The sequence below is a fragment of the Homo sapiens genome, chromosome 19, assembly GCF_000001405.40.
Source record: "Homo sapiens chromosome 19, GRCh38.p14 Primary Assembly".
Taxonomy (NCBI): domain Eukaryota; kingdom Metazoa; phylum Chordata; class Mammalia; order Primates; family Hominidae; genus Homo; species Homo sapiens.
The window spans coordinates 35,491,881-35,515,260 of NC_000019.10; the positions used below are offsets into that span (position 1 = coordinate 35,491,881).

General features: G+C 54.1%; 1 protein-coding gene and 1 long non-coding RNA gene across 57 annotated transcripts, besides 4 other annotated features; both read right to left on the reverse strand.

The window, feature by feature from the left end:
• LOC124904703 (uncharacterized) lies at positions 2,712-4,568 on the reverse strand. Its single transcript, XR_007067242.1, has 2 exons — positions 3,511-4,568; positions 2,712-3,310 (listed from the first exon to the last, which is right to left on the reverse strand). It is a non-coding gene; the product is annotated as an uncharacterized LOC124904703 (long non-coding RNA).
• Positions 2,966-3,912: an enhancer, noted in NCBI's record as "H3K4me1 hESC enhancer chr19:35985748-35986694 (GRCh37/hg19 assembly coordinates)". NCBI's record gives its function as "activates a minimal SCP1, AML or CMV promoter by ChIP-STARR-seq in primed H9 embryonic stem cells {active_cell/tissue: H9 hESC(primed)}" and the evidence as "EXISTENCE:reporter gene assay evidence [ECO:0000049][PMID:30033119]".
• Positions 4,569-5,339: 771 nt separating the features above from the next.
• On the reverse strand, positions 5,340-21,769 carry DMKN (dermokine). Of its 56 annotated transcripts, XM_011527495.3 has the most exons (23): positions 21,170-21,769; positions 20,710-20,910; positions 20,541-20,597; positions 19,883-19,933; positions 19,641-19,713; positions 19,531-19,589; positions 18,716-18,760; positions 18,304-18,372; positions 18,031-18,081; positions 16,325-16,360; positions 15,578-15,631; positions 14,246-14,305; positions 14,059-14,106; positions 13,838-13,885; positions 10,950-11,006; positions 10,256-10,303; positions 8,653-8,700; positions 8,498-8,539; positions 8,078-8,149; positions 6,994-7,017; positions 6,836-6,883; positions 5,767-5,801; positions 5,340-5,658 (listed from the first exon to the last, which is right to left on the reverse strand). In XM_011527495.3, exons 1-21 carry the CDS (start codon positions 21,593-21,595, stop codon positions 6,836-6,838), a joined length of 1,617 nt encoding a protein of 538 aa, XP_011525797.1. In that variant the 5' UTR covers positions 21,596-21,769; the 3' UTR covers positions 5,340-5,658; positions 5,767-5,801. The 56 variants fall into 56 exon arrangements, 48 of the variants coding, with proteins under 48 accessions (XP_011525797.1, XP_011525800.1, XP_011525802.1 ...); XR_935872.3 differs by lacking the exon at positions 5,767-5,801 and having other exon boundaries at positions 6,718-6,883; XM_011527498.3 differs by lacking the exon at positions 8,498-8,539.
• Positions 8,237-8,738: an enhancer, noted in NCBI's record as "H3K4me1 hESC enhancer chr19:35991019-35991520 (GRCh37/hg19 assembly coordinates)". NCBI's record gives its function as "activates a minimal SCP1, AML or CMV promoter by ChIP-STARR-seq in naive H9 embryonic stem cells {active_cell/tissue: H9 hESC(naive)}" and the evidence as "EXISTENCE:reporter gene assay evidence [ECO:0000049][PMID:30033119]".
• Positions 8,739-9,238: an enhancer, noted in NCBI's record as "H3K4me1 hESC enhancer chr19:35991521-35992020 (GRCh37/hg19 assembly coordinates)". NCBI's record gives its function as "activates a minimal SCP1, AML or CMV promoter by ChIP-STARR-seq in naive H9 embryonic stem cells {active_cell/tissue: H9 hESC(naive)}" and the evidence as "EXISTENCE:reporter gene assay evidence [ECO:0000049][PMID:30033119]".
• Positions 18,299-18,608: an enhancer, noted in NCBI's record as "active region_14482". NCBI's record gives its function as "activates an Ori minimal core promoter by ATAC-STARR-seq in GM12878 lymphoblastoid cells {active_cell/tissue: GM12878}" and the evidence as "EXISTENCE:reporter gene assay evidence [ECO:0000049][PMID:35858748]".
• Positions 21,770-23,380: the final 1,611 nt, after the last annotated feature.

Here is a 23,380-nt window from a genome sequence, read left to right on the forward strand (position 1 = left end):
CACTCCATGTCATTGCCCTAACCCACCTTGCCCCACCCCCAGTTTGGAAGTTGGATCACCTCACTGTGACACAATGTCCTAGTCAAGCAGCCTTCTCCACAGTGAGGTTCAGGTGGCCAAACCGGCTCCTGCTGTAACAGGGAGGGGCTGGGACATGGACCGGCGCTGTCAGGGAAAAGCAAGACCTTATCAACACAACCTGATGCAATGCACGGTGGCGGTGGCCCTGGGTGGGAGGGCTGGACGGCATCCATGAACAACCTTTACGAACCCCAGAAGCTGGGCACCTCAGCTCCATCCTCACGCTGCCCCCACACCCCAGTCCCAGACATCCTCTTCAGCCTCCTCTGATTTTATAATGGCAGCTTCCCCTTTGCAGAGCTACCTGAGGGAACACTGCTTAGAGAACACTCCCTTAGCCCAGATGGCCACACAGTAGTGGATGTCACAGAGTTGGTGCTCCTGGAGGGGACGAGTTAGAGAATGACTGAGGTGGGTGGAGCACCTCCCAAAAGGTTTTCTGGAGGACACAAGTTCTGTGTAATGAATCCTTGCTAATTAACGAACAGTGACTGAAAAAGCTCATTAGCCACCATTCCATCCGCATAGGGTCGACTCCAGGGAGTGAAGAATCAGACAAAAGAGAACTGATGTTGTATAACCAGCTACGATTTGACAGGCGGGTGAGGGGACCCAGTGCCAGTTTTGGCCTGGGTGATCTAGAGCATCGGTCAATCCAACGCTGTCTTCTGTTTTGCTCTAGAGTCTAATCTGTGATTTTCCTTTGACAATAAATTGCCCTCCCTATGTTTTCCTCTCCACCCGATGGTATTGATAACAATGTTAGCTGAGTTACTGAGGCTTACTATATGGCAGACCTTGTACTAAGTGCTCCAAATACGCGATCTCATTGAAATGTCCCAGTGATTCTGACACAGGTGGGTACTATAATTATTCACATTCTATAGGCGGGGGAACCACAGCATATAGAGGTTAAATAACTCACCCCAGGTCACACAGCCAGAATGTGACAGGACCAGCATTAGAACGCTGGGCTTCCAGAGCCTGAACCTATATTGCTCCTCTCTATGCTGGACAGGCTATGTTACAGCACATGTAACACCCTGTGTGAATTAGACCCATGTCCTGAGAGTGGGGGGCAGACTGCATCGAACCCCCACAGGTCCCCTTTACAGTGTCCATTGTGGTGCATAGCCTGCACCATCAGAGGTGGCAGCCCCAAGCATAGGTGCATTCATTTAAATGAATCAAACTGCACACTCTTGACAAAATGAAAACGAAGAATGAAGGTTAGTGGCATCAGCCCCCGAATGAACCTGTGATTGCCTCCGTTTCCAGATGCCTCCAGTAGTATAATCATCTTGCCACACCAAGTATGTGTTTACAGATAGGGTTCCGTTTCTGGATCTAGTGTTCAACATTCTGCTGTTTAAAAATAGGTACTTTTTGTATCATACCTCTAAACACAGGCCAACTGCTTTGTGTGCTCAACCAAAGAAATTCTCTTCCTATGCTGGAAAAAAAGCTGTCTGTGTTGGACTCATGATTTGTTTCCACTTGGCATCTTCCTGGCACCTTCTGAGGGTAGTTTTTTGGGGTTTTGTTTGTTTGTTGTTTTTTGTTTTTGAGACAGAGTCTTGCTCTGTTGCCCAGGCTAGAGTGCAGTGGTATGATCTCGGCTCACTGCAACCTCCACCTCCCAGGAGGAGTGATTCTCCTGTCTCAGTCTCCCGAGTAGCTGGGATGACAGGCGTGCGCCGCCACACCCAGCTAATTTTTGTATTTTTAGCAGAGACGGGGTTTCACCATGTTGGCCAGGATCGTCTCAAATTCCTGACCTCAAGTGATCTGCCTCGGCCTCCCAAAGTGCTGGGATCACAGGAGTGAGCCACGGCGCCCAGCTAGTTCCATCTTGACGTGATTTTTGCTGTAAGCGGCCAACTTTAGAAGCCAGTGTCTCTCTCCAAACTCCTCCCTCTTCCTCCATCTACGCTGCCTGAGTAGTTTGTGTTCCCTGAGTTGGGTTGGGCAGATGGGGAAAGAGAGGGGCAGGGAGTTCTCCCTGGGAGAGGGTCCCAGCAGTTCAGGTGATGGGCTGCAGGAAAATCTGCCCGATACGCAGCTCAGCTTTGGATGAATCACGGAGGGTTAATGGAGTCAGGCAGCCGCAGAGACTGGCTCTGCAACATCACATCTCCAGGTCGGCTTGACTTCCTAGCTCCCTCACTGAGAATACCAGTAAACCTCTGTTTTCCCACAGGCCTGCCCCCACCCCACCCCAAATCTGCCAGAACTTGAGTGTGGGTAGGAGGCGAGGCCCAGCCTGGATTGCCCCATTGTGAGACACACCTAGGGCCTGGCAGCCAGCCTCCTGGGTCTAGGGAGGGAGTGGGGATTCCAAGAGAGAGACACTAGGTTTTCGGGGCCTTGGCGAACACTAGGTGGGAAGCCGGGAATCCTGGGAGAGAGAGGGGACTGGGATGTGGAGTATTAGGGGGCAGAACTCAGGGCATCCCTGTCCCATCCCTTCCTCCCTCCGTCGGTGTTGTCACAACCAAGAAAGCAGCCTCATCCACCAGCAGGTGTGGTTTCTTCCTTTGCCGCCCACCCTATGTGCCCGGTGCTTAAACCTCTCCCAGGAAGTCTTCCTGGATTGGTCCCACTTAATTCCAATCCCTCTCTCCATTGGCTAATTTGTAAATATTTATTTGGCTCTTGGTACTGGGGGCTGTAGATGGACAAAAGACCTGCCCTACAGATCCCATGTCCTAGCGAAGGAGACATCATAATGTAACCAAAAATAGATACGCAAACAAGATGACTTCAGAGAAGGACAGGTGCTGCGAAGAAAACGGGGCCATATGATGCTGACAGGGTTTCCTTGGTCGATGGCCTGAGGGCCGAGTGCGGTGGCTCGCACCTGTAGTCCCAGCACTTTAGGGGGCTGAGGCAGGAGGATCACTCAAGCCCAGGAGTTCCAGACCAGCCTGGGCAACATGGCAAGACCCCGTCTCTATTAAAATACAAATTTTAAAAGGTGGCCCAGGGAGGGACATTTGAAATTAGTCCTAAAAGCAGATGAAGCTCTGGCTTTCTGAAGACCTTGGTAACAGCCGCCCATGTTCCCTGATGGCCTGTGCCAGTAGGCCCAGAGGGACGTTAGAGAGGGAGGCCAGGCCCATCGCATAGAGCCGTAGTGAGGAATGGGGATTTTATTCCAGGGCTAATGAGAAGCTGGTGGTAGGTTCCGAGCAGGGGCTCCTTCTAGGGCGTTGTGGAAGAACGGGATCTAAAGAATAAGATGGAAGTTGGGGATTCAGGAGGTCACTGGAGGAGCCCTGAAGGGAGAAAGGGGTACCCACCCTTCACTGGAGGGCCCCTCATGCCAGGGGACCTTAGCCTGCCTCGGGTGTCACTCTAAGCTTTCAAGAGCCGCTTTCAGCTCTTTGGGCCAAGAACATCTCACGAGCCAAGAACCGTGTTGCTCACCTCCGCGTCTCCCCCGGTGCCTCAGTGACTGGGCTGAGGAGACTTCAGCTCCCCACGGGTTTCCACCCCCACCCACGCTCCGGGAAGCTCTCTGTGCAGCGAGGACGGAGCGTCCTCCCTGGGAGGGCCCCGCGCTCTCCCCCCTGTGGCCTCTAGGAGGTACTGCAAGGCCCTCCTATGGCGTTGAACTCCGGAGGACAAGTGCAAACCAGCATCAGGATTTCAGGACCCAGGAGAGAAGGGAGGCCAAGCAGAGGAGCGGCCCTCCCAGGCAGGCCGACTGGGTCAGCTCGGTCTCCTCAAGTCAGTTTTGGGCCGGGTTTCTTTCACGTATACATGCACTGTTTGAGGCCCTGTGCCTGTCCTGTGGGTGGAGAGTGACCTAGGCAGATGGGGGCCATGCCCTCAGGGAACTCAAACCTGGAGGGAGTCACTTAGGCTGGCAGGGCGCCTCCTGTCCACCTTTTACTTCCTGTCCCCTGCAGGGATCCCAGGGGGACAAAGGGGTGGGGGATCCTTAATCCGGGCATGTTGGACCAGCTTGGTGGGACTTAGGGGCTCCTACTGCAGACCCCCAGCCCAGTCCCAAGGGCTCTTCAGCGTGGGATAAGCCTGGCTCAGCCTGCGCCGCAGCCTCTCCTGTTTCATTGGTACAGTGATGGGGTGGAAGTGTTCTGCCTCCCTCCCTCTGCATCCTGGAAACACAGGGCAGTCAGTGCCCGTGATAAGGCCCTGGGTTAGATCCAGTGCCCCCAACTTCCTAAGCGCGTCTCCCCAACCACGCCCCCATCCCCACGGCAGCCTGTCCATGTGGAGAAGCACAGTCTCTATCAGCACCTCGCTCCTGTTTCCTGCCCTCTCCCTGACCTTCTGGGACTGACCTCCCGTTTTGAACAACCTCTTTCCCCCTGCTCCTGACTTGAATATTTCCATTGTCGCTTTTTCAGGCCAACAAAACACCTGTGGCTGCTTCAAGTGCAAAAAGAACAGTACTCAGGCCGGTCGCAGTGGCTCACGCCTGTAATCCCAGCACTTTGGGAGGCCGAGGCGGGCGGATCACGAGGTCAGGAGATGGAGATCATCCTGGCTAACACGGTGAAACCCCGTCTCTACTAAAAAATACAAAAAATTAGCCGGGCGTGGTGGCGGGCGCCTGTAGTCCCAGCTACTCGGGAGGCTGAGGCAGGAGAATGGCGTGAACCTGGGAGGCGGAGCTTGCAGTGAGCGGAGATCGCGCCACTGCGCTCCAGCCTGGGTGACAGAGCGAGACTCCGTCTCAAGAAAAAAAAAAAAAGAACAGTATTCAAGCCGGGCATGGTGGCTTCCGCCTGTAATCCCAGCAACTTTGGGAGGCTGAGGCGGGTAGATCACCTGAGGTCAGGAGTTCAAGAACACCCTGGCCAACATGGTGAAACCCCATCTGTACTAAAGATACAAAAATTAGCCAGGTGTGGTGGCGCATGCGTGTAATCCTAGCTACTCAGGAGGCTGAAGCAGGAGAATTGCATGAATCCAGGAGGCGGAGGTTGCAGTGAGCCGACATCGTGCCACTGCACTCTAGCCTGGGCCACAGAGTGAGATTGAGTCTCTAAAAAAAGAATGGTATTCAGATATAGGTTGGGCAATGATTTTTTTTTTTAACAGATGAGGAAACTGAGGCACAATGCAGGCTTCTTGTCAGAAATAAAACCCAGGTCTCATCTCTCTCAGCCTCTGTGCTTTATACCAGTTTCAGGCAGAAGGCAGATTAGCTGCCCCTGAATCACTCTTCCATCCTCCCTGAGCCAGGCCATCAACATAGCATTAAAGAATAAAATTTGAGAAAGTCGTAGGGAAACAAGATTCATGTTTTATTTCCACAGAGAAACTCAAAAGTAGGAAGCTCCTCCTTCCTGGAGAACTGTCACAGTGACTTCAGGTCACCAAAGGGAGGAGGTACAGAAAGATGCTGGTGTATGTGACGAGGCTGGTGGCCACTGAAGCACCACAGTGCAGTGGGAAGAAACAAGGAGAGACAAGCTGGGTCCCCAGCCTAGGAAACAGAGGTGTGGCAGCCGGGCCAGGGCTGGCACAGGCTGGGGGCCAAGGGGAGGAGCTCCCTGACGACCAGTGCTTTTCGGGGCCTCGGTGGTGGTTGCAAGAAATTGCCTAGAAGAAAGAAAATCAAATGGTAGCACGTGGCCACTCCTAAGCCTGCGGAAACGGGGCATCTTTTCACCCAGCGTCTGGGCACCCACCATTCTTTTGCTGTCCTACCTGTTCGCCTGTGGTGCCCCTCACTTTTGCTCCGCCTAAAACAGAGTTTGTGGTTCTGCCGAGCCAAGCTATCACCTCTCGCCCATGCAGCCTCGCTGCGTCCCACCTCTGAACCCTTCCACCAGGAGGCTCTTTTCTCCACAGTTCCCCTGTAACATCTCTATCCCGGTCCCTGTGCTCCATCTAGAACACCATCTTCTCAGAGCTGTGCCTATGTGGTCCCACCCTAAGGTGCTTTCCGAGGGTCCTAGGTCATTTTCTTTCTTCTTTCTCTCTTGCTTGCTTTCTTTCCCTCTTTCTCTCTCTCTCTCTTTCTCTCTTTCTTTCCAGACAGGGTCTCCCTCTGTTGCCCAGACTTGGAGTGCAATGGTGTGATCATAGCTCACTGCAGTTTTGAACTCCTGGGCTCAAGCGATCTTCCTGCCTCTGCCTTCCAAGTAGCTAGAACTACAGGCATGTGTCACCATGCCTGGCTAAGGTTTTTCATTTGTTTGTTTGTTTGTTTTGAGACAAGGTCTCACTGTGATTGCCCAGGCTGGAGTGCAGCGGTGCAATCGCAGTTCGCAGCAGCCTCAACCTCCCAAGCTCAGGTGATTCTCCCACCTCAGCCTCCAGAGTAGCTGGGATTACAATCATGCACCACCTCACCTGGCTAATTTTTTGTATTTTTAGTAGACGGGGTTTTGCCATGTTTCCCAGGCTGGAATGGTTTGTTTTGTTTTGGTTTGTTTTGTTTTGTTCTTTTAGAGATGGGGTCTTGCTATATTGCCCAGTCTGGTCTCAAACTCCCAGACTCAAGTGATCCTCCCACCCCAGCCTCCCAAAGCACAGAGATTACAGGCATGAGCCACTGCACCCAGCCCTAGATCACTTTATTATGGGTCTTTCTCCACACCCCACCATGAGGTCCCCTCTTCCTTATCACCTTTAGAGCACGCACCCAGAGCATACCTGACTTCATGTCGCTGCCCACTGAGATCTGAGGATATACCAAGATCCTGGCCCTGCCCCGGGTGACTGTGCCTCCACTGCCAGGATGTGGCCTGGGTCGGCTCACTCTGACACTCACCTACCAAAACTTCACCCACTGCAGCAGGCCAGGTTGCACCCGGGAAGCCTGCCAGAAAAAGAGAAAGTCTGAGTGGCCACCACAGGGTCCCTTCCATACCCTCTGGCCTCAGGCCCCTTCTCTCTCCAGCCAGATGAAGATCAGGCCCCCATACTCACCGAGGAAGAAGGTGAGACTCCCCCCTGCAAAAAGATCAAAGGAAAGTGATGTGGGGTCATGGCCTCCCTGTACTCTGCCATGGCCTCCACGCTCATGAAGGGCCCAGCAGCAAGGGCAGGCTCACACCAGGGCTATCACCAAGGTTTTCCAGTCTGACTGTGGACATTCAGGCTGTGGAGTTGGTTTCACAGCACGTTTATCATCCTGAGTGCACTTGATCCAAGATGATATTGAACATGGTTCCTGGGCACGTACTGACCAAGGGGGTCAAAAGAGCATAGGCCTCGCTTTGGCCTGCCAGGTAGGGAGACACTGACCACAGATAACCCGGCAGAGTGGAAGCCACAGATAACTCAGCAGAGTGGAAGCCACAGGCAGTAGAAGCTGCATGTCCCTCCTCTCACCAGCCTGTAGTTTCTCGTCCCTCAGTGGAAGGTCCTCTCCCCAAGGGCGGGGACTTTATTGTCATGAGAGATGGAAATACACAGCCTGCTGTTGCTTTGTCAGCCAAATTTGTACTTAGCATATTCATTTACTGATGTTATGAGATTGCCTTCTTTGCAACGGAATAAAACCAAATTCTCACGTATTTTTTCTTTTCATTTCCTTTGTGGAATAAAGCATTCATTTCACCGCCAACCAGGCATCCACAGGCCGGCCTCCCCTAAGTGCTAGTCTGCTTTCCTCGCCCTCCATTCCATCTTCCCCCGCAAAAAAAGGTCCACAGAGAGGGAACCTGTGAGGAAGAGCTGCTTGCGTGTTTTGCAGGTGTCATGATTTTTTAAAGCCTATATTCTTCTTGGAGAGGGTGTTGGTTCTCAGTTTTCTCTGTTGCTGCTGCTGCTCCTTTTTAACCTTTTCTGACTGGGTGGGTGTGAGGCGCATTGAACCCTCCTGCCCTCCACTTCCAAACTGTCTCAGGGAACCCGAGTCTCCCTTGCAAAGGGGTGGGGAGGCCTGGACTCAAAGAGAGCGGGATCCGGCCTCCGGCAACCAACCGAGAGGACCCCGGCAGTGAAAGCCTCTCTCCCCATCCCTCATGCAGAGCCCCCAGCGGGAAGACAGGGTGGTTGCCGGTCTCACCTTTGCAGGGGTCTTGACTGAGTACTTCCCACCATAGGCAGTGGGATACGCATGCTGGTTGTAATTGTAGTTCTGTGGAAGAAGTGGGCATGGCGGTTAGAACAGACGGACGAAGGCCATTTTGCTCTGGAATAAACATCCCACCTTCCTGCCTGGACCAGACCTTTCCTAAAACACCTGCCTGCTCCCCTCCTTGTGTCACGTGTTTTCTTTTATACAATCTCCTCCAGCCAGCCAGGGCCCCCACCCTCACCTGCCTTTACTGTCCTAGCCCAAATGGCCGCCGCCTCCTCCTCCTACTCCTCCTCCTGCCCTCAAGACCTCTGCCAACTCTTCAAGTGTTACTTGGGAGGTGAGGGTAGGAGACCAAGAAAAGAAGTGCCAGGACGTAACCCAGCGGGTCCATGGTAGATGTCTCACCTTGGAAGTTACAGCTGCCACCTCCTGCCATCCTGCACCCGGCTGAGAAAGCCATTGAATGGAGGAGTGAAAGAGAATTTCAGATTGCCCAGACCCGGGAGCAAGGCCAAGGGGGACCAAGGGCCCTGCAGGGTAACTTGAGGACAGAGACTCACCTGATCGTCTCTGCCTGCACGTTTCTGCAGTGATGACGCGTCCGCACCCTGAAAGGAAGAAGGGGCCACAGTTCGTGCCTCCGCAGTCGTGCGGGCATTGCCGGGCTTTCAGAGCCCCAGTTTCTCCCTCACCCCACCCCTTTCCACGTGCTACCTATAGAGAAGGCAGTGAGCCTGGAGGAGCTGATGGCCCAGATAGATAGAAGACAGATATCCACACTCAGCATTGGGAGCCAGGGAGAGAACCAGGTTTGGCAACACCTTCCCCACCCATGCCGTGGGAGAGTTGGCAGCCCCAGCCTAAGACTGAGCTAGAACAAGTGAGCTGCAGCCATGCAGGCTCCTCTGGGGCAGACGCAGGCACTGCAGCCCAGCCCACCTTCTGCCTGCACCAAGTCCTGCTGCTATGCCCGTAGGCCCTTAGTCCCTGCACACCGACGCCATGCCCCACAGGGTGCTTGAAGGAGGGGTTGTTATCTGCAGAAGCTGCGTGCTTAGGTTAGCTCTGGACCACAGGAAGCAAAAGAAGAGAAATACAAGAAAACAGATAAAGCAACTTAAGACACTGCAGATGCACCGGACACCCCCCCCAGCCCCAGCGCAAGAGGAGAAACTCTAAGCGTTGAAAAGAAGTTCAGTTCCTGCCATCACGGCTTCTCCACTTGGACCGTCCGCCCTGCCACACACACACACAGAGTGACAGTGAAGTCCTGACTCCAGCATTAATTCTGCCTTATCCATACCTGACCTTGAACCTAAACCCCACTGCAAGCCCTAACCCTGAGGTCACAAACTGGTTGACCATGGGCCTCCAGATATTTTTTGCTTGGTCTACTTAAAAATTAAATTAGTTACAGTTAGAGATCAGCATCCTGGTTCTTCGTGAAACATCAGACAACACGCCACCCTGTTCACACATGCATGCATGACTGCACTTAGCTGGAGCGCCTCGACCTCCCCCTTTGCAGGGCCCCACCTGTCCAGCCTCATATACTTGGCACACGTAGACACGGGAGCAGGCAGCCTTTGTCTCAGTGCCCACGGGTCCTGTTTCTCAAAGGCTACTGGCCATGCAGAATTGGAGTGTGGTCTTTGGCACCGCCCAGAGGTTCTCCCCATCCTCCCTGACCCAGGTCTTCAGACCCTCAGCAGCTGCCTCCACTAGACAGGGACCTGACCCCTGCACACCGCCCTCCCGTTCCACCTCAGCTGTCCTCCCCATGCCGCAGCCTAGGCCCCTTCTTCCCCTCAATACGATCTCCCCGCACCTGTGCACCCTGCGGTACCCACCCAGCCGTGGCTCCCCTGGGTCCAGGCCAGGCCCAGCAGGAGCAGGAGCAGAGCAGAGGCAGTGGCCGGCTTCATGTTCATGTGCTTGTGGAGGCCCCAGCCCTCGGCCTCGGCTTTTATGCTAGGGAGGTCCTCCCACCCTGCTCCTCAGTGACTCACGGCTTCTCCCTCTCACCCCGCCCCCACTCGGGATTGCACAAAGCCTGGGAAAGTGGGAAGGGAGGGGAAGAAACTGGGACAGACACCTGGGTCAGCGGCTCGCCCAGGGCCCCGAACCCTGTGTCCCAGAGCTGAGAAGTCCTGCCCCCCTTACCTCAATAATTGCTTTCCAGTTGAGGAAAGGAGTGTTCTGTTTGAAATCCTGCAGGGAGAAGGAGGGCAGAGTGGGCCGGGGAGGCAGAACCCACGGGGTGGTCTATGCAGCAAATTGGGGGGATTCCAGATCTCGGGTAGGAAGGAGCTTTTGGGTGTGGCTTGGGGTTGGAGGAAGGTAAGCACGTGGGAGATTGAGGGTGTCAGCACTTGAGATGGTATTGGTGATAAGATTTGGTGATAAGATTTGGATGAGCTGTCTCAAAAATGAAGAGGGGGAGTTGGCTGGGCGCGGTGGCTCACGCCTGTAATCCCAGCATTTTGGGAGGCCGAGGCAGGTGGATCACGAGGTCAGGAGATTGAGACTATCCTGGCTAACATGGTATAAACCCTGTCTCTACTAAAAATACAAAAAAAAAATTAGCCGGGCACGGTGGCAGGCGCCTGTAGTCCCAGCTACTCGGGAGGCTGAGGCAGGAGAATGGCGTGAACCCAGGAGGCAGGAGTTTGCAGTGAGCCGAGATAGTGCCACTGTACTTCAGCCTGGGTGATAGAGCGAGACTCTGTCTCAAAAAAAAAAAGGGGGGGAGTTTTGAAACAGGTGGTTGGAGCAGAGGGTGGCTGCCTTGAGGGAGGCTTGGGGAGAGTCAGGAGGGCCAGGCCCCCAGTTCTTCAAACAGCAAGAATTCTCCTACCTCCCAGAGTCGGCTGAAGTAGAGGAGGGCTCGGGTGCTGGGGGGCGGGACCTGGTTCTGTGGATGAAAGGCGGGGAGCAGGTTAGCAGAGAGCCTGGGCCCACTCACCCACCCCTCCTCCTGCTACTGCCCTATCTCAACCTTCAGAATGTCATTGTGACTAAGGTTGGGGATGGGAGGAGCTGAGAGTCTTTAGGGACACCAGGAAACCATTTTGGGAAACACAGGGAGAGAGAGAGGCACTAACCAACTCTCCCTGTCCCAGAGCATACAATGTTTTCTATCCCAAGTTCCCCAGCCTCCAGCAGAACCTAATTCTAGCAAAACCTCAAGACTAGGACCTGCCTCAGAGTGTCCCCTTTCCACCTGCCGGGCCTCCTCCAGCCCGTTTCCCGAAGCTGTGGGGCTGCAGCCACCCCTTCCACACCACCCTGGATAACAGCGGAGACGTAAGAAAGGAGCAGAGGCCAGGAGTGTGGGGCAGCTAAGGTTTATTTCAAGGGCAAGGGCTGAGATTAGTGATGAGAGGGTGGTGTTTTAAGGAGGGAGTGTGGGGGCTCCCATCCAATCTGGTGGCTCCTTGTCTGGAGGTCACGGGATGCGAGAGCTTCTCTGGTCCTGGGCAAAGAAACAGGTTTTTTTTTGTTTTTTTTTTTTTTTTTTTGAGATGGAGTCTCGCTCTGTCGCCCAGGCTGGAGTGCAGTGGCACGATATCAGCTCACCGCAACCTCCGCTTCCCAGGTTCAAGCGATTCTCCTGCCTCAGCCTCCCAAGTAGCTGGGACTACAGGCGCACACCACCACGCCTGGCTAATTTTTGTATTTTTAGTAGAGATGGGGTTTCACCACATTGGCCAGGCTGGTTTCAGACTCCTGACCTCAAGTGATCTGCCAGCCTCGGCCTCCCAAAGTGCTAGGATTACAGGCATGAGCCACCGCGCCTGGCCAGAAATAGGTTCTAAGAGAGAGCTTGAGAAATAGGAATTCCAGGGCATTGTGAGCCAGCACAAGGGTATAAGAGACCCCTGCTCCAGAAACCTACAGGGACCTTTTTGCCCACCACTGCTATCCAAACAAACCCAGATATCCTGGCTTGGGCTTAAGAACCCCCTGCATCGTCAGGAACATTACACTGCGTTCCCCTCTGCTCCCTCCTCACTCTGGCTGAAGTCCTCAGCTCCCTCACCCCACTGTGAAGAATGGGGCTCCATTCTCTCCCCTGCCCACCTCTGCCCTGCCCTGCTTTCTAGGAGATCTGCCCCTTGAGGAGCTGGCCCAGATGGATCCTGCCTCACTGCGATCACTCCCTCGACTGCCGCCCTAGATGGGCAAAACTGGCAGGGTGTCTATCCTGGCTCTCTGGGAAGTGTCTGTATGTGCCCCGGCTCTCCCATCAGACCCTAAGTTCCCTGTGACCCAGGAAAGAGTCTTGCTCCTACCAGAAACCGTTCTCTGTGAAACAGAGAGGCCAGATGCAGTGACTCATGCCTGTAATCCCAACATTTTGGGAAGCCAAGGTGGGCAGATCACTGGAGGTCAGGAGTTCGAGACCAGCCTGGCCAACATAGTGAAAGCCCATCTCTACTAAAAATACAAACATTACCCGGGTGTGGTGGCGGGCACCTGTAAACTCAGCTACTGGAGCGGCTGAGGCAGGAGAATCATTTTGAACCCAGGAGGCAGAGGCTGCATTGAGCTGAGATCGAACCACTACACTCCAACCTGGGTGACAGAGCGAGACTCCGTCTCACCAAAAAAAAAAAAAACAAAAGAAAGAAAGAAAGAAAAAGAAAAAAGAAAAGAAACAGAGAACATGAATCCACTGTAGCTGGGTGGGAACATCTGTACTCTCCTGTCTCCTCAATCTCCTTCCTAAAAGGTCAGACTTAGATTTTCCTGAGCCCAGTCTTCTCTCTTTTACATTAAAGGCCAGAAACTCCACTGCTCACAGGGGCCAGTCAGGTGGCTAAAATGACTGTGACAGGTAGGGACAGTCTGGCCACTAGGGAGTGACCCCCCCACCCATTCCCAACACCCCCCACCTGGGCCAAGCAGCAGCTGTTTCTCAGCTCTAGCCTAACCCCACCCCATGGAAATGGAACCCAGTGTTACCAAAGTTTTTGAAAGAAACCAGAAATCCAAATCATTATGTGAAGTCTCTCCATGTTTAAACTTTGACAATTAATTCATATTCTTAAAAAAAAAAAAAAATAGAGTGTCTCAAAAACCCATCCTCCAATCACGAATCGCAGCTTCTGCCGGGGGTGTGTCTGCATGGGTTGTCCACCTGTCCTTCCTCCCCTCCCTTCCACTCCAGCCCCCTCTACTCTAGAGGTGCCTGTGCTACTCAGGTATCAAAGCAGCCTGGCCAGGGGTTCCCCTGCAAGACGGAAGGGTAGGCAGGGAGGAAGGAGGGAGGGGTTCTGCGCCCCAGCTGTGTTTTTGTTTGTGCGGGAGAGACTAATGCCTGTCACCCCTGAGGCTCTCGGCCAGTGCTGGTTCCTTTCTCTGGGTGCCCTTCCTCTTGGGGCCTCTTAGCTCCACCTCACTCCTCATTCCATGTGCCCTCTAGGAGTCAATCTACTCTCCCCTTAACCTTCCCCATCTCAAAGGGGAAAGTGAGGTTCAGGACCTGCTCGGGTCTATATGCTGAAACAGCAAAGAAGCCCGTCCCCTCTGCTCAACCTCAATCTCAGCTGCTCCAGATTCTCCCCCTCTTTTCAGGTCTCCTCTGTCCTCCCTCCTCCACCCCCAGTGTGTTTAGTTTTTGTTTTTAGCACTGGCCTAAATGCTTCCTCAGTGGCCAGCATCACTGTTTCCCCAGCTCACAGAGCGGAGGTTTAGCTTTCTTCCCTATAGCCCTCTCCGACGAAGATGTCCAGCCCTTACCTTGTTTATGGCATCCCAGTTGATGAAACCCAGCTTGGATTTAAAATTCTATGGAGGAAACAAAAAGAAGAATGGCCAAATTGAGTCATAAGGTAATTGGCCGAGAGAGGTCAAGGGCCACTGCTGACTGTTGGTTTAGAAAGAGGACCCCAGACTGTGGGGCCAAGGGCAGGGGTTGGTTTTCCAAATGCGAGTGAACAGAGCCATCTCGCAGAACTCACCTTCCAGAAAGTGTCAAAGTTAAACATCCCAGGAGACGTCTCAGAGTTCTATGGAACCAAGGAGATATGGGATGAGAGAAGAACCCACTTTGTGAGCCAGAGTCGGGAGATCTGAGTGGCAGGAGGGGAGGCGAGGATTGTGTGACACCATGGTCCCAGCCCAAGGTGGAGTGTTGCCTCCACTCACCACAGTATTGACTCCACCAACAGCGTCACCTCCTCCACTGCCCCAGCTCGACCCTTGCCCCTGGGTGGGGAAAAGGGGGACCGATGTCCAAGGCTTATGCTTCCTATCATGCCTGCCACCTGTCAACCTGCCCCGGATTGCTTCATCCCCACCTCGGTCCAGGCTTCCTGTCCTCCTCTCTATAAAGCTGCCTTCTCTTCCTTACACAGCACCAAAAAGTTCACTTGGGAAAGCTTTCTTAGAATGGATTGCTCCCATGGAACCCCACCCAGTCCCCTGAATCTCAATATTCAGACTCTTGCCTCCATCCTGGTCTGTCCCCAAAACACCTCAAGCAAATGAGATTAGCTAACGTGTAGTCCCACGGCACGCCAAGCACCATGCCTTATGCAGCATCTGTCTCCAGAGTCTGGACTCCACAACACCTTGGTCTGGTGGTGACATGGAAAGCTGTACAGTAACTGAAGGCTGCGTGAGTCAGGTTTCACTGTCCTCATTTTACTGGAGGAAGCTCAGGCTCGGAGAGGTTAGCTGACTTGCCTGAAGATATACAGATGACATGATAGAGCTGGTGGTGATTTTAATATATATCTTAAATTTTTTTGAGGCTGGGCATCGTGGGTCACGCCTGTAATCCCAGCACTTTGAGAGGCCGAGGTGGGTGGATCACCTGAGGTCAGGAGTTTGAAAACAGCCTGGCCAACATAGTGAAACCCCATCTCTACTAAAAATACAAAATTAGTCAGGCATGGTGGCACATGCCTGTAATCCCAGCTACTTGGGAGGCTGAGGCATGTAATCCTAGCTACCTGGGATTACAGGTGTGAGCCACTGCACATGGCCTATTATTTTCTTTTTAAAAAGTAGAGACAGGGTCTTCCTACGTTGCTCAGGCTGGTCTCAAACTTCTGGGCTCAAATGATCCCCACACCTCAGCCTCCCAAAGTGCTGGGATTACAGTTATGCTGGTGCCTGGCCAGAGCTGGCTTTCGAAACCTCATCTTCTACCTCAAAGCTCAGTGACTTTCTCCTTCTCAACACTGCCTCCCTAAGTATGGAAATCCCCTTGACCATTCTTCTGTTACTTTTATCTGTTTTCTCCCCTTACAAAAGTAACATGGCTCCGATCCAAATCAAAAGGAAGGAAGGAATGAATGAACCAAAGATGGAGATGGGGATCCCAGAACCCTGTTTTGGTCTCTTGATGGTCACTGGACGCAGATTCAGAGCAGCTTGCAAGAAGAAACTGATATTTTTGTTTCTTTTCCCAGGATCTTAGCATGCTTCACCATCCCTTCTCCTAAAGCCAACCCTGCCTGCCCCTAGGCTCACCCTATAATTGTCTCCAGAGCCTCCAAGGAGGCGATTGCCCTCTTTGCTTATTTCCTAGGGAGACAGAAAACGGAGAGGAGTTGATGGGGAGGCAGGCGGGCAGGGGGACGAGAGGGCAAGGAAGCAGGGTGTCGGCGAGGGATTCCTGAATCGGGGGACTGAGACATGAGCATGACAGAGGACTTCCCAGAGGCCTGAGAAAGAGGTCCTTCTCTCGGGGAAGTTCCATCTGCCCTGAGATCTCGTTTCAAGCTCCTGTGGGTCGGGTGGCTGCTCACTTACGATGTCCATAGATAACATCGCCATCTCTGTTTATGTTCATTTCTGCAAGCCGCCCAAAATCCATCAGGGAGGGCTTTGCCAGCAAAGCATCCGAATTCTCCCCTGGCTTTGGAGCTGGAGTGGGCCAGGCTGTTACACTAAATTGATTCAAACTGAAGGACCCTGTCTGGGCTGATTGGCATTAGTAAAAAAAGGAGATGCTAGCTGGAGAGCCAGTGGGGGCTGAGGCGGCATAGAGTAGACTGGCTGGTCCCCTCTTAAGGGAGAGGTGGGCTCCTCTGGAGTCCTGCTTTATCTGCTGTGAAACATGGCCAGACCCATCAGTACTTCCTCGTTCCCAGAGCTCTCAGGTAGACCTGGCAGGGATGTGGGACCACCTGTCTGCCAGTATTGCTCCTGGAGAACAGACCTCTACCCCACTTACTACCGGCACAGTCTCTGACCCCACATCTACCATCCTCTTACCCTCATGTTGCTGGAAACTCCCTGTCCTCTGAAGCCCTGCAGGGTGAGACAAAGAAACACAGACCCCTGCTGAAGATCCTGAGGCCACCCCCGAAAATTAATGTATTGATTTAATATGATTCCTCTAAGAATCCTAATGGCACTCTCTTTTGGAACTGGTCCAAACACTGACATTTTTTTAGGAGAATGAAAGTTTAAGAATAGGTAAGAAAACACTGGAAAAGATAAATGGTAAGTGAAGATAAGAGGTAGATAGTAACATACTCTAAAGCTACCATAAATAAAGCAGTCCTGTCCGACAGAATTCCCAGAAACTCCCCAAAATACTAAGGTATTTACAAGAGGCATTTTAAATCAGTGGTTGAAGTGATTGAATACATGGGAATGGGAATATCAGTGAAGTATTTTGGGGGAAAATTTTAGTTCTAGCTCATCAATTTCCTCCTCTCTGTTTTTAACCAGTTTTCCCCTCATAAAGGAGGACACAGCTCGGATACAAAGCGTAGGGTAAGTCTGGTTAGATGGAGGGGTGGGACTAGACAGCATATAGGAAAACAAAGTCCAGATGCATCCCAGTTAAACTGAAAAAGTGAAATTGCAGGAGTATGCATAGTGCTAGAAGAAAATTACCTTAAAGCGGTACACCAAGAGCAAAAACCATAGAGGAAAAGATGGCTGCTTTTTGACTACTTATATACTTAAAACTGAGGTATATTAAAAAACTAGAAAAGTCCGAGTGCAGTAGCTCATGCCTGTAATCCCAGCACTTTGAGAGGCAGAGGCGGACAGATCACCTGAGATCAGGAGTTTGAGACCAGCCTGGCCAACATGGTGAAACCCCATCTCTACTAAAAATACAAAAAAAAATTAGCCAGAGGTGGTGGCTGGCGTCTGTAATCCCAGCTACTCGGGAGGCTGAGGTAAGAGAATCGCTTGAACCCAGGAGGTGGAGTTTCCAGTGAGCTCAGATCGCACCACTGCCCTCCAGCCTGGGTAACAGAGCGGGACTCCATCTCAAAAAGGAAAAAAACACAAACTAGAAAGAGGGTTACAAATGGGAAGAAATTTTTTTTTAAAAAAACCAGTTTGTTCCCATAAAAGGTTAGTATCCCTCATAGATTATCTAAAAAGAGATGTCTCTACTCAGCCCCAGCACCTCCGGTCTGGCCTTGCCCCTGGCCACGTGGGTCCTTTCCCACCAACGCCTCACCCAGGAGCTTGTTAGCAACGCGGCTAACAGGCTCAGCCCCACCCAGCCCTGTTAGAGCAACCTGCACTTTCACAAGATCTCCGTGACACTAACTCTCAGCACCACAGGTGCTGACATAAAGCCCACATTTCCAGCATAACTGGGGGGAATGTTTTTCCAAAGCACTCTGAATCCCCCAGAGTTCACCACAGTCTGTTCCCCGGCTGGATAGAGGACATTTAAGACAATTGTGCTTCTAAAAGGACCGGTTTACATGGAATTTCTCCCAGCCCCATCTGTGGTATAAGGTGAGGTATATCACAGCAAGATTTGCAATTAATTAGTACTTTGGAAATCGTTAGCATTTTTAGGAGTGCATTTGGTTTCTTCTGCCGAAATAGTCAGTTCCCTGCAGACAAGGCAGGAGGGGGTTGAGCAGAGTTGAGTTAGGAGGAGTGGGCACAGTCCTGGGCAGGAACTGCAGTCCCCAGGAGACTTAAGAGACTTTGGCTCTCACCTGAATCCCAGATTCCCCGCTCCCGCGGGCTTCATTCCCTGGCTTTTCACACTGCCGGGGAGAGAAAGGGGAGACTTTCCCTCAGTCCCCTCCCAGACCAGTCCCAGCCCCAAAATGGCAGCATTTTAACCCTGGGGCGAGCCGCTTCCGCTCCACCTCCGCGGCCATCCAGCCCCATCTCCGCGGAGCCTTGGCTCCCCGATCCTGCGAGTGAAACCAGCTGCTCTCCTTTTCCTTCCCGCGGTTGGTGGGAGATTCACGCCAGCCACTCACCCCGGGTTTATGTCCATTTCCTCCGCCGCTCCCACCGTGGTTGCCGGAGGAGGAGCCGGTGCTGGATCCCTGCAGGGGAAAGCAAGATTTCAAACGCTGTCCTAAAGGACCTAAAGGGGACCCAGTCGTTCCCAGCGGTGTTACAGATTTGTTGGAACCCCAATCAGATTCCAGTCCTCTTTCCAACCTCCAGACCTTCCCCCTCTTTAGCCTGTTGGTCGCTGCAGGAAGTTATTCCGAGCATGGAGAAGGCCAGGTGTGGCCGAGGGTATTCGGAACTACGCAATGATTTGGAGAACCTGAGCTGCTGCCCACCGCAGGCCGGGGGTGGGAACCCCTGGAGCCCGGCCGCGCAGTAGCCGCGATCCTGCCACCAGGGGGCAGCAAGTGGAAGGGACCCTAGAGCCCTCACCTGGGAGCGGCCGTAGCTGCCTTGGTCACCATTCCCAGAACTGCCCTAGATGGGGGAGAGGAGGATCATACGGGGAGCGGCGCATGAGAGCAGCTCAGGTTATTCGGCTTATTGTGTCCACGCACCTCCTCCTGTCTGACACTTTTCCCGACCCCCGAGGAAGCCAGATGTGGCTCCCTCTCCAGCTCGACTCCAAGACACGGGATGGGAGAGGCCGTCAGCCAAGGGGTTGGACAGGCCATTGACCAGGAGGCTGGAGAGACTGCCGGCTCTGGAGTCAGTGAGGCCCGGGGCCCTGGGGTGGCAGCTGCGGGGTCACAGCGCCCCTTCCTGCCCTCACACCCATCGTGCAGGGGCCCCATGTGTGAATGTCGTCTGCACCGTCGCTCTGTCAGCGTCCGTAGGTCTCCCGGATCACAGTCCTGCCCCCATTCTCCTGGGAGCTTCCCAGACAAGTGTCATATTCTCCCATGTCCCCCTCTTTCTCCGCCACCCCACGGTCTCCTGAGACTTGCCAAGTGGACTTGACTGCAAGAGCTTAGACAGGCGGGATAACGTCCCCACCATCACAGAGTGGAAAATAGGGATACAGAGTCAGAAGCAGTGGGGTGGCTCTGGCAGAAACGATAGTGCGCGCATCAGGGGCACAGCATGGGTGGGGAACAGGAGGCTGAGGGAGCCTCAGGGTGACGACTATCAGCGAGGCCGCCCATCCTCGGGCAGCGGCAGCTTTCAGAGAAACTTGGAGCCCTCTCCCGGCAGGGACCACTAGGGCCTCACCCCATCTCAGCCTTCCACAGAGGTGCCAAACTCACCCAGGAGGACTCACTGCCGCTGTCACCTCTGCTGCCACCACTGTTGCCACTGCTGCCACCACTGCTGCCGCCACTGCTGCCGCCACTGCTGCTGCCACTGCTGCTGCCACCACTGCTGCTGCCATTGTTGTTGTCACCATTGCTGCCACTGCCACTGCTGCCCGACTGTGAGCCGCTGCCTCCCTGAGGGGCAGGAAGGGAGCAGGGCTGGGATTAAAGACAGAGCACCAAGACGGGCCCCTCCTCCCTCCCTCTCCACCCAGGCCATATTCCATGATGCCCAGTCTAAGGGGAGCAGAACTTCTCCATTTCCTCCTGGTGCACAACTCCTGGGTTGCCCCTCTCCACTCACCCCAGAGTTGCTGGAGCCTCCACCTGAGCCAGATGGTGGGGGATTCGTGCACTGTCGAGGGAAAGGGATGGTGAGTTTGGGGACGGTGAGTTTGGAGACGTTGGCCTCGGCCATGGACACAGGCCAGGCCTCTCCCATTCTTTGGGGCTTGGCTTCCTTTCTCCTAATGTGTTTCTCCCACCTCCCCTTCCCATCTGCCTCCTCCCCAGGCCCAGGCCCGTCTCTTCCTCCTTTTTTTTTTTTTTTTTTTTTTGAGACAGGGTCTCACTCTGTTGCTCAGGCTGGAGTGCAGTGATGCGATCTCGGCTCACTGCAACCTCCATCTCCCAGGTTCAAGTGATTCTCCTGCCTCCGCCTCCCAAGTGGCTGCAATTACAGGCGCATGCCACTATGACCGGCTGATTTTTGTATTTTTAGTGAAGACAGGGTTTCACCATGTTGACCAGGCTGGTCTTGAACTCCTGACCTCAGGTGATCCACGTGCCTTGGCCTCCCAAAGTGCTGGGATTACAGGTGTGAGCCACCTCGCCCAGCCCCATCTCTTCCTCTCACCCCAATCCCTCCACTCCCCCATCTTGCTTTCCTCTTTGTCTTTCCCCAGCTCTCTGTAGCCTGCACCCAGTGGCTTCTTCATTTGTTCCCAGCCCCTTCCTCTTACCCCTTCATTCTGGTTGCTGGCTCTCACTGAACCATAGCCAGGCTGGGCCACAGCTCCCTGCAGAGAGGGTGAGACTGAGAGTAGGATCCAGAGGGACCAGGGAGGCACGCGGAGCATGTGGGCTTGGAGGGAGGGAGGTGGCAGGTAGCAGGTCTGGGGGTGACTTTACCTGAGTGTTGGTCCCAAAGTTTGGTGGCCCTCCATTGCCTCCTTGACCCCAGGGAGCTCCCTGAGGATTCATTCCAAAGCTGCCTGCTGAGTTTCCGGGGTATCCGTGGACCCACGGAGTCCCCAGACCTCCAGGATTGCCCTGGCCCTGGCCTCCAAGGCCACCTTGAGAGCCAAAGATGCCATGGCCTCCAGAAGTTTCCTGCAAGAACAACATACCTGCACTTAGTGGGACCATCTCTGACCCTGGTAGAGAAGAGCCAGGGCAAATCATAAAGAGACCAGGAGAGAGACAGGCAGAGGGACTCCAGGGTGGCATAGGAGGGGGGCAGAACATAGAAGGAAGCTGCCCCAGAAGCCTGCAAGTAAGAGATCCATCCATCCTTTCAACCGTTTCCCAAGAATCTCAGCCCAGCAGCCCACAGCCTCCCATTTCCACATGCAGCCCCACAGCCACTCACCCAAGCACCATTGTGGCCAGGCACCCCCTGCCAGGAGCCGCGGACAGCATCTGCTCCGTGTCGAATGACATCTTCTGCCTGTCTGCCAATCTCGTGCCCAGTGTTTCCCAGAGCATGGGCTGCTTCCCCGACCCTGTTGCCCAAAGCATCTGCTACGCCAAAGCCTGGAACCTGCCTGACTCCAGTGCCAACTGCTTCTCTGGTCCCTTGGCCAAGGGCCTCACTGACTTTAGAGCCAGCTGCCCCTCCGGCCTCTTTGCCAATGGCCTTTCCCACCCCTTCGCTCAGGGCGTCTCCCAGGCCATGTCCAAGGGCCTCCCCAATATTTGTCCCAGTGCTTTCCTCTCCGCTCTGCAGGGGGCCAGCCTCCCCACTGCCCAGGCAGAGGGCCAGCAGGAGGCAGGCCAGGGGCCCCTGGAACTTCATCTCTGCCCAGCCCCCTCTCTCTCCAGAGTGTCTTCCTCCCACCAGGGTCTCCTCCTTGCCGCCCTTGCTCTGCGTCTCTGTGCCCTCCTCTGTCCTCCTCCTTCCGACTCCCTGTCCTCCCTCCCTCTGGGTCTGCAGCCTTCTCTCTCCTGTCCTCAACTGCCTGGGCTTCTCAGAGTCCACCTCCCTGTCACTACTCCTTATACTCTAGGTTGGGAGAAGGTGACAGGGCTGGGCAACCTGAGGTCCCTCCCCGCAGTGACTCAGGGCCCAGCCACCAATAGGGTAATCAGCTGTTATTGTGAGTCTGAGAGTCTCTGTCGAAACAGAGAGTGAGCCGCATCAGGGAGGGAGGGAGAAATGGATGAGGTGATGCAAAAGTGCTCCCATTTCCCAACCCCAGGCATTCGGGGAGCTGGGTGGGGGCAGGGGCATCTAAGGAGACAGGTTGTCGTTGGCTCCTGGAGGCGGTGGGGTGGGGGCAGACTTAGAAGAGAGGAGTTACTGGCAGGACCCCACCAAAGGAGTAAGGACAGGGAAGCCCCAGGGGACAGGACCCACCCAGGCTCAGCCAGCCTGGCTCAGGGGCTCCAGAGTGACAGGCATTGCCCGTCCTCGGCCTGGCCTTTCTCGGTTTCAGCACCTCAGCCTCTCCTCTCCCTCTCCCCTCCCGCATTGCCACCTACAGGTGACTGCCTTCTTGTTCCTCCACACCTTCCAGCCCACAGAGAGAGACTGGCAAACACGGGGCTGCGTGTCAGTTTCTGAGATTCTGGGGAGAGCCCCCGGGGGGACCCTCGGTGTCGGGGAAGGAGGTGGCCATAGCCCTTTGAGTGGTCAGCAGGGTGTCTCAGCGTTCAGGCTGCTCCCGGCTGAGAAAGCTGGGCGCGGAGCAGGGCAGCCAGGCGCGCCAGCCACCCCCAGGGAACGAGTGGGAGGGAAGGCCAAGGGAGGGAGCCGCTGACCCAGGCACCCATCCTGTTTACGCAGCCCTAGAGGGGCACGTGTGAGTATAAGCGCCTATGAGGGGCGGGACTGGGCCAGCTCACCCCACCCATCCCCCAGGCCAGGGGCCAGGGCAGCAATGGCAAGCGAGAAGAGGGTAGCGCAAGGTCAGGAGCCATCCGTGAGAGCCACGGCCCTCTCCCCAGTCCCAGCTCGGGATACAGAACCTGGGAGCCTCCCCCCGCCTCACCCCTGCCCAGCAAGTGTGGCTGCTTCTCTATTCCCAGGGGCCACAGGGCCTCCCACTGTTTCGTATCACTGGGGTTCATCGCCCAGTTAGGAGGGGCCAGTTTCCATCAGCCTTTCTCAATGTCTCTCAGTCAGTCTCTCTCTTCTCTCCACCCCAATATCCGCACCCCAGCTTATAACATCCAACACTTCTTACCTTGTAAACACTATCCCCATCTGTCCTCCTCAGCTCCTACTTCCCTGTTATTCCATCTCTGACTCGTTAATGATGATAATAGCGATGGTGGTAATAATAATAATAATAATAATAATAATTACAGCTCCAGCTTATCAGCGGTTCTGTATGTACCCAGCATTGGACTAAGCACAAGCAGTTTAAGAATTATACAACTCTGGGAGATGGTTCTTTTTTTCTAGAGACAGGGTCTTGCCCAGGCTGGAGTACACTGGCACAATTGTAGCTCACTGCAGCATCGACCTCCTGGGCTCAAGCGATCCTCCTGTCTCAGTCTCCCAAGTAGCTGGGACTATAGATGCACACCAGCACACCCAGCTAATTTTTTTTTTCTTTTTGAGACAGAGTCTTACTCT

Bases quoted from the DNA above. Each gene is read 5' to 3' on its own strand.
- DMKN (XM_047439685.1), bottom strand. From the start codon at position 21,595: ATGAAGTTCCAGGGGCCCCTGGCCTGCCTCCTGCTGGCCCTCTGCCTG. The intron at 10,304-10,949 runs GTAGGAGAATTC...TTCTCCCTGCAG, and splicing joins ACTTCAGCCGACTCTGGGAG to GATTTCAAACAGAACACTCC. The intron at 7,018-8,077 runs GTGAGACCGGCA...ATCTTTTTGCAG, and splicing joins CAGTCAAGACCCCTGCAAAG to GGGGGAGTCTCACCTTCTTC.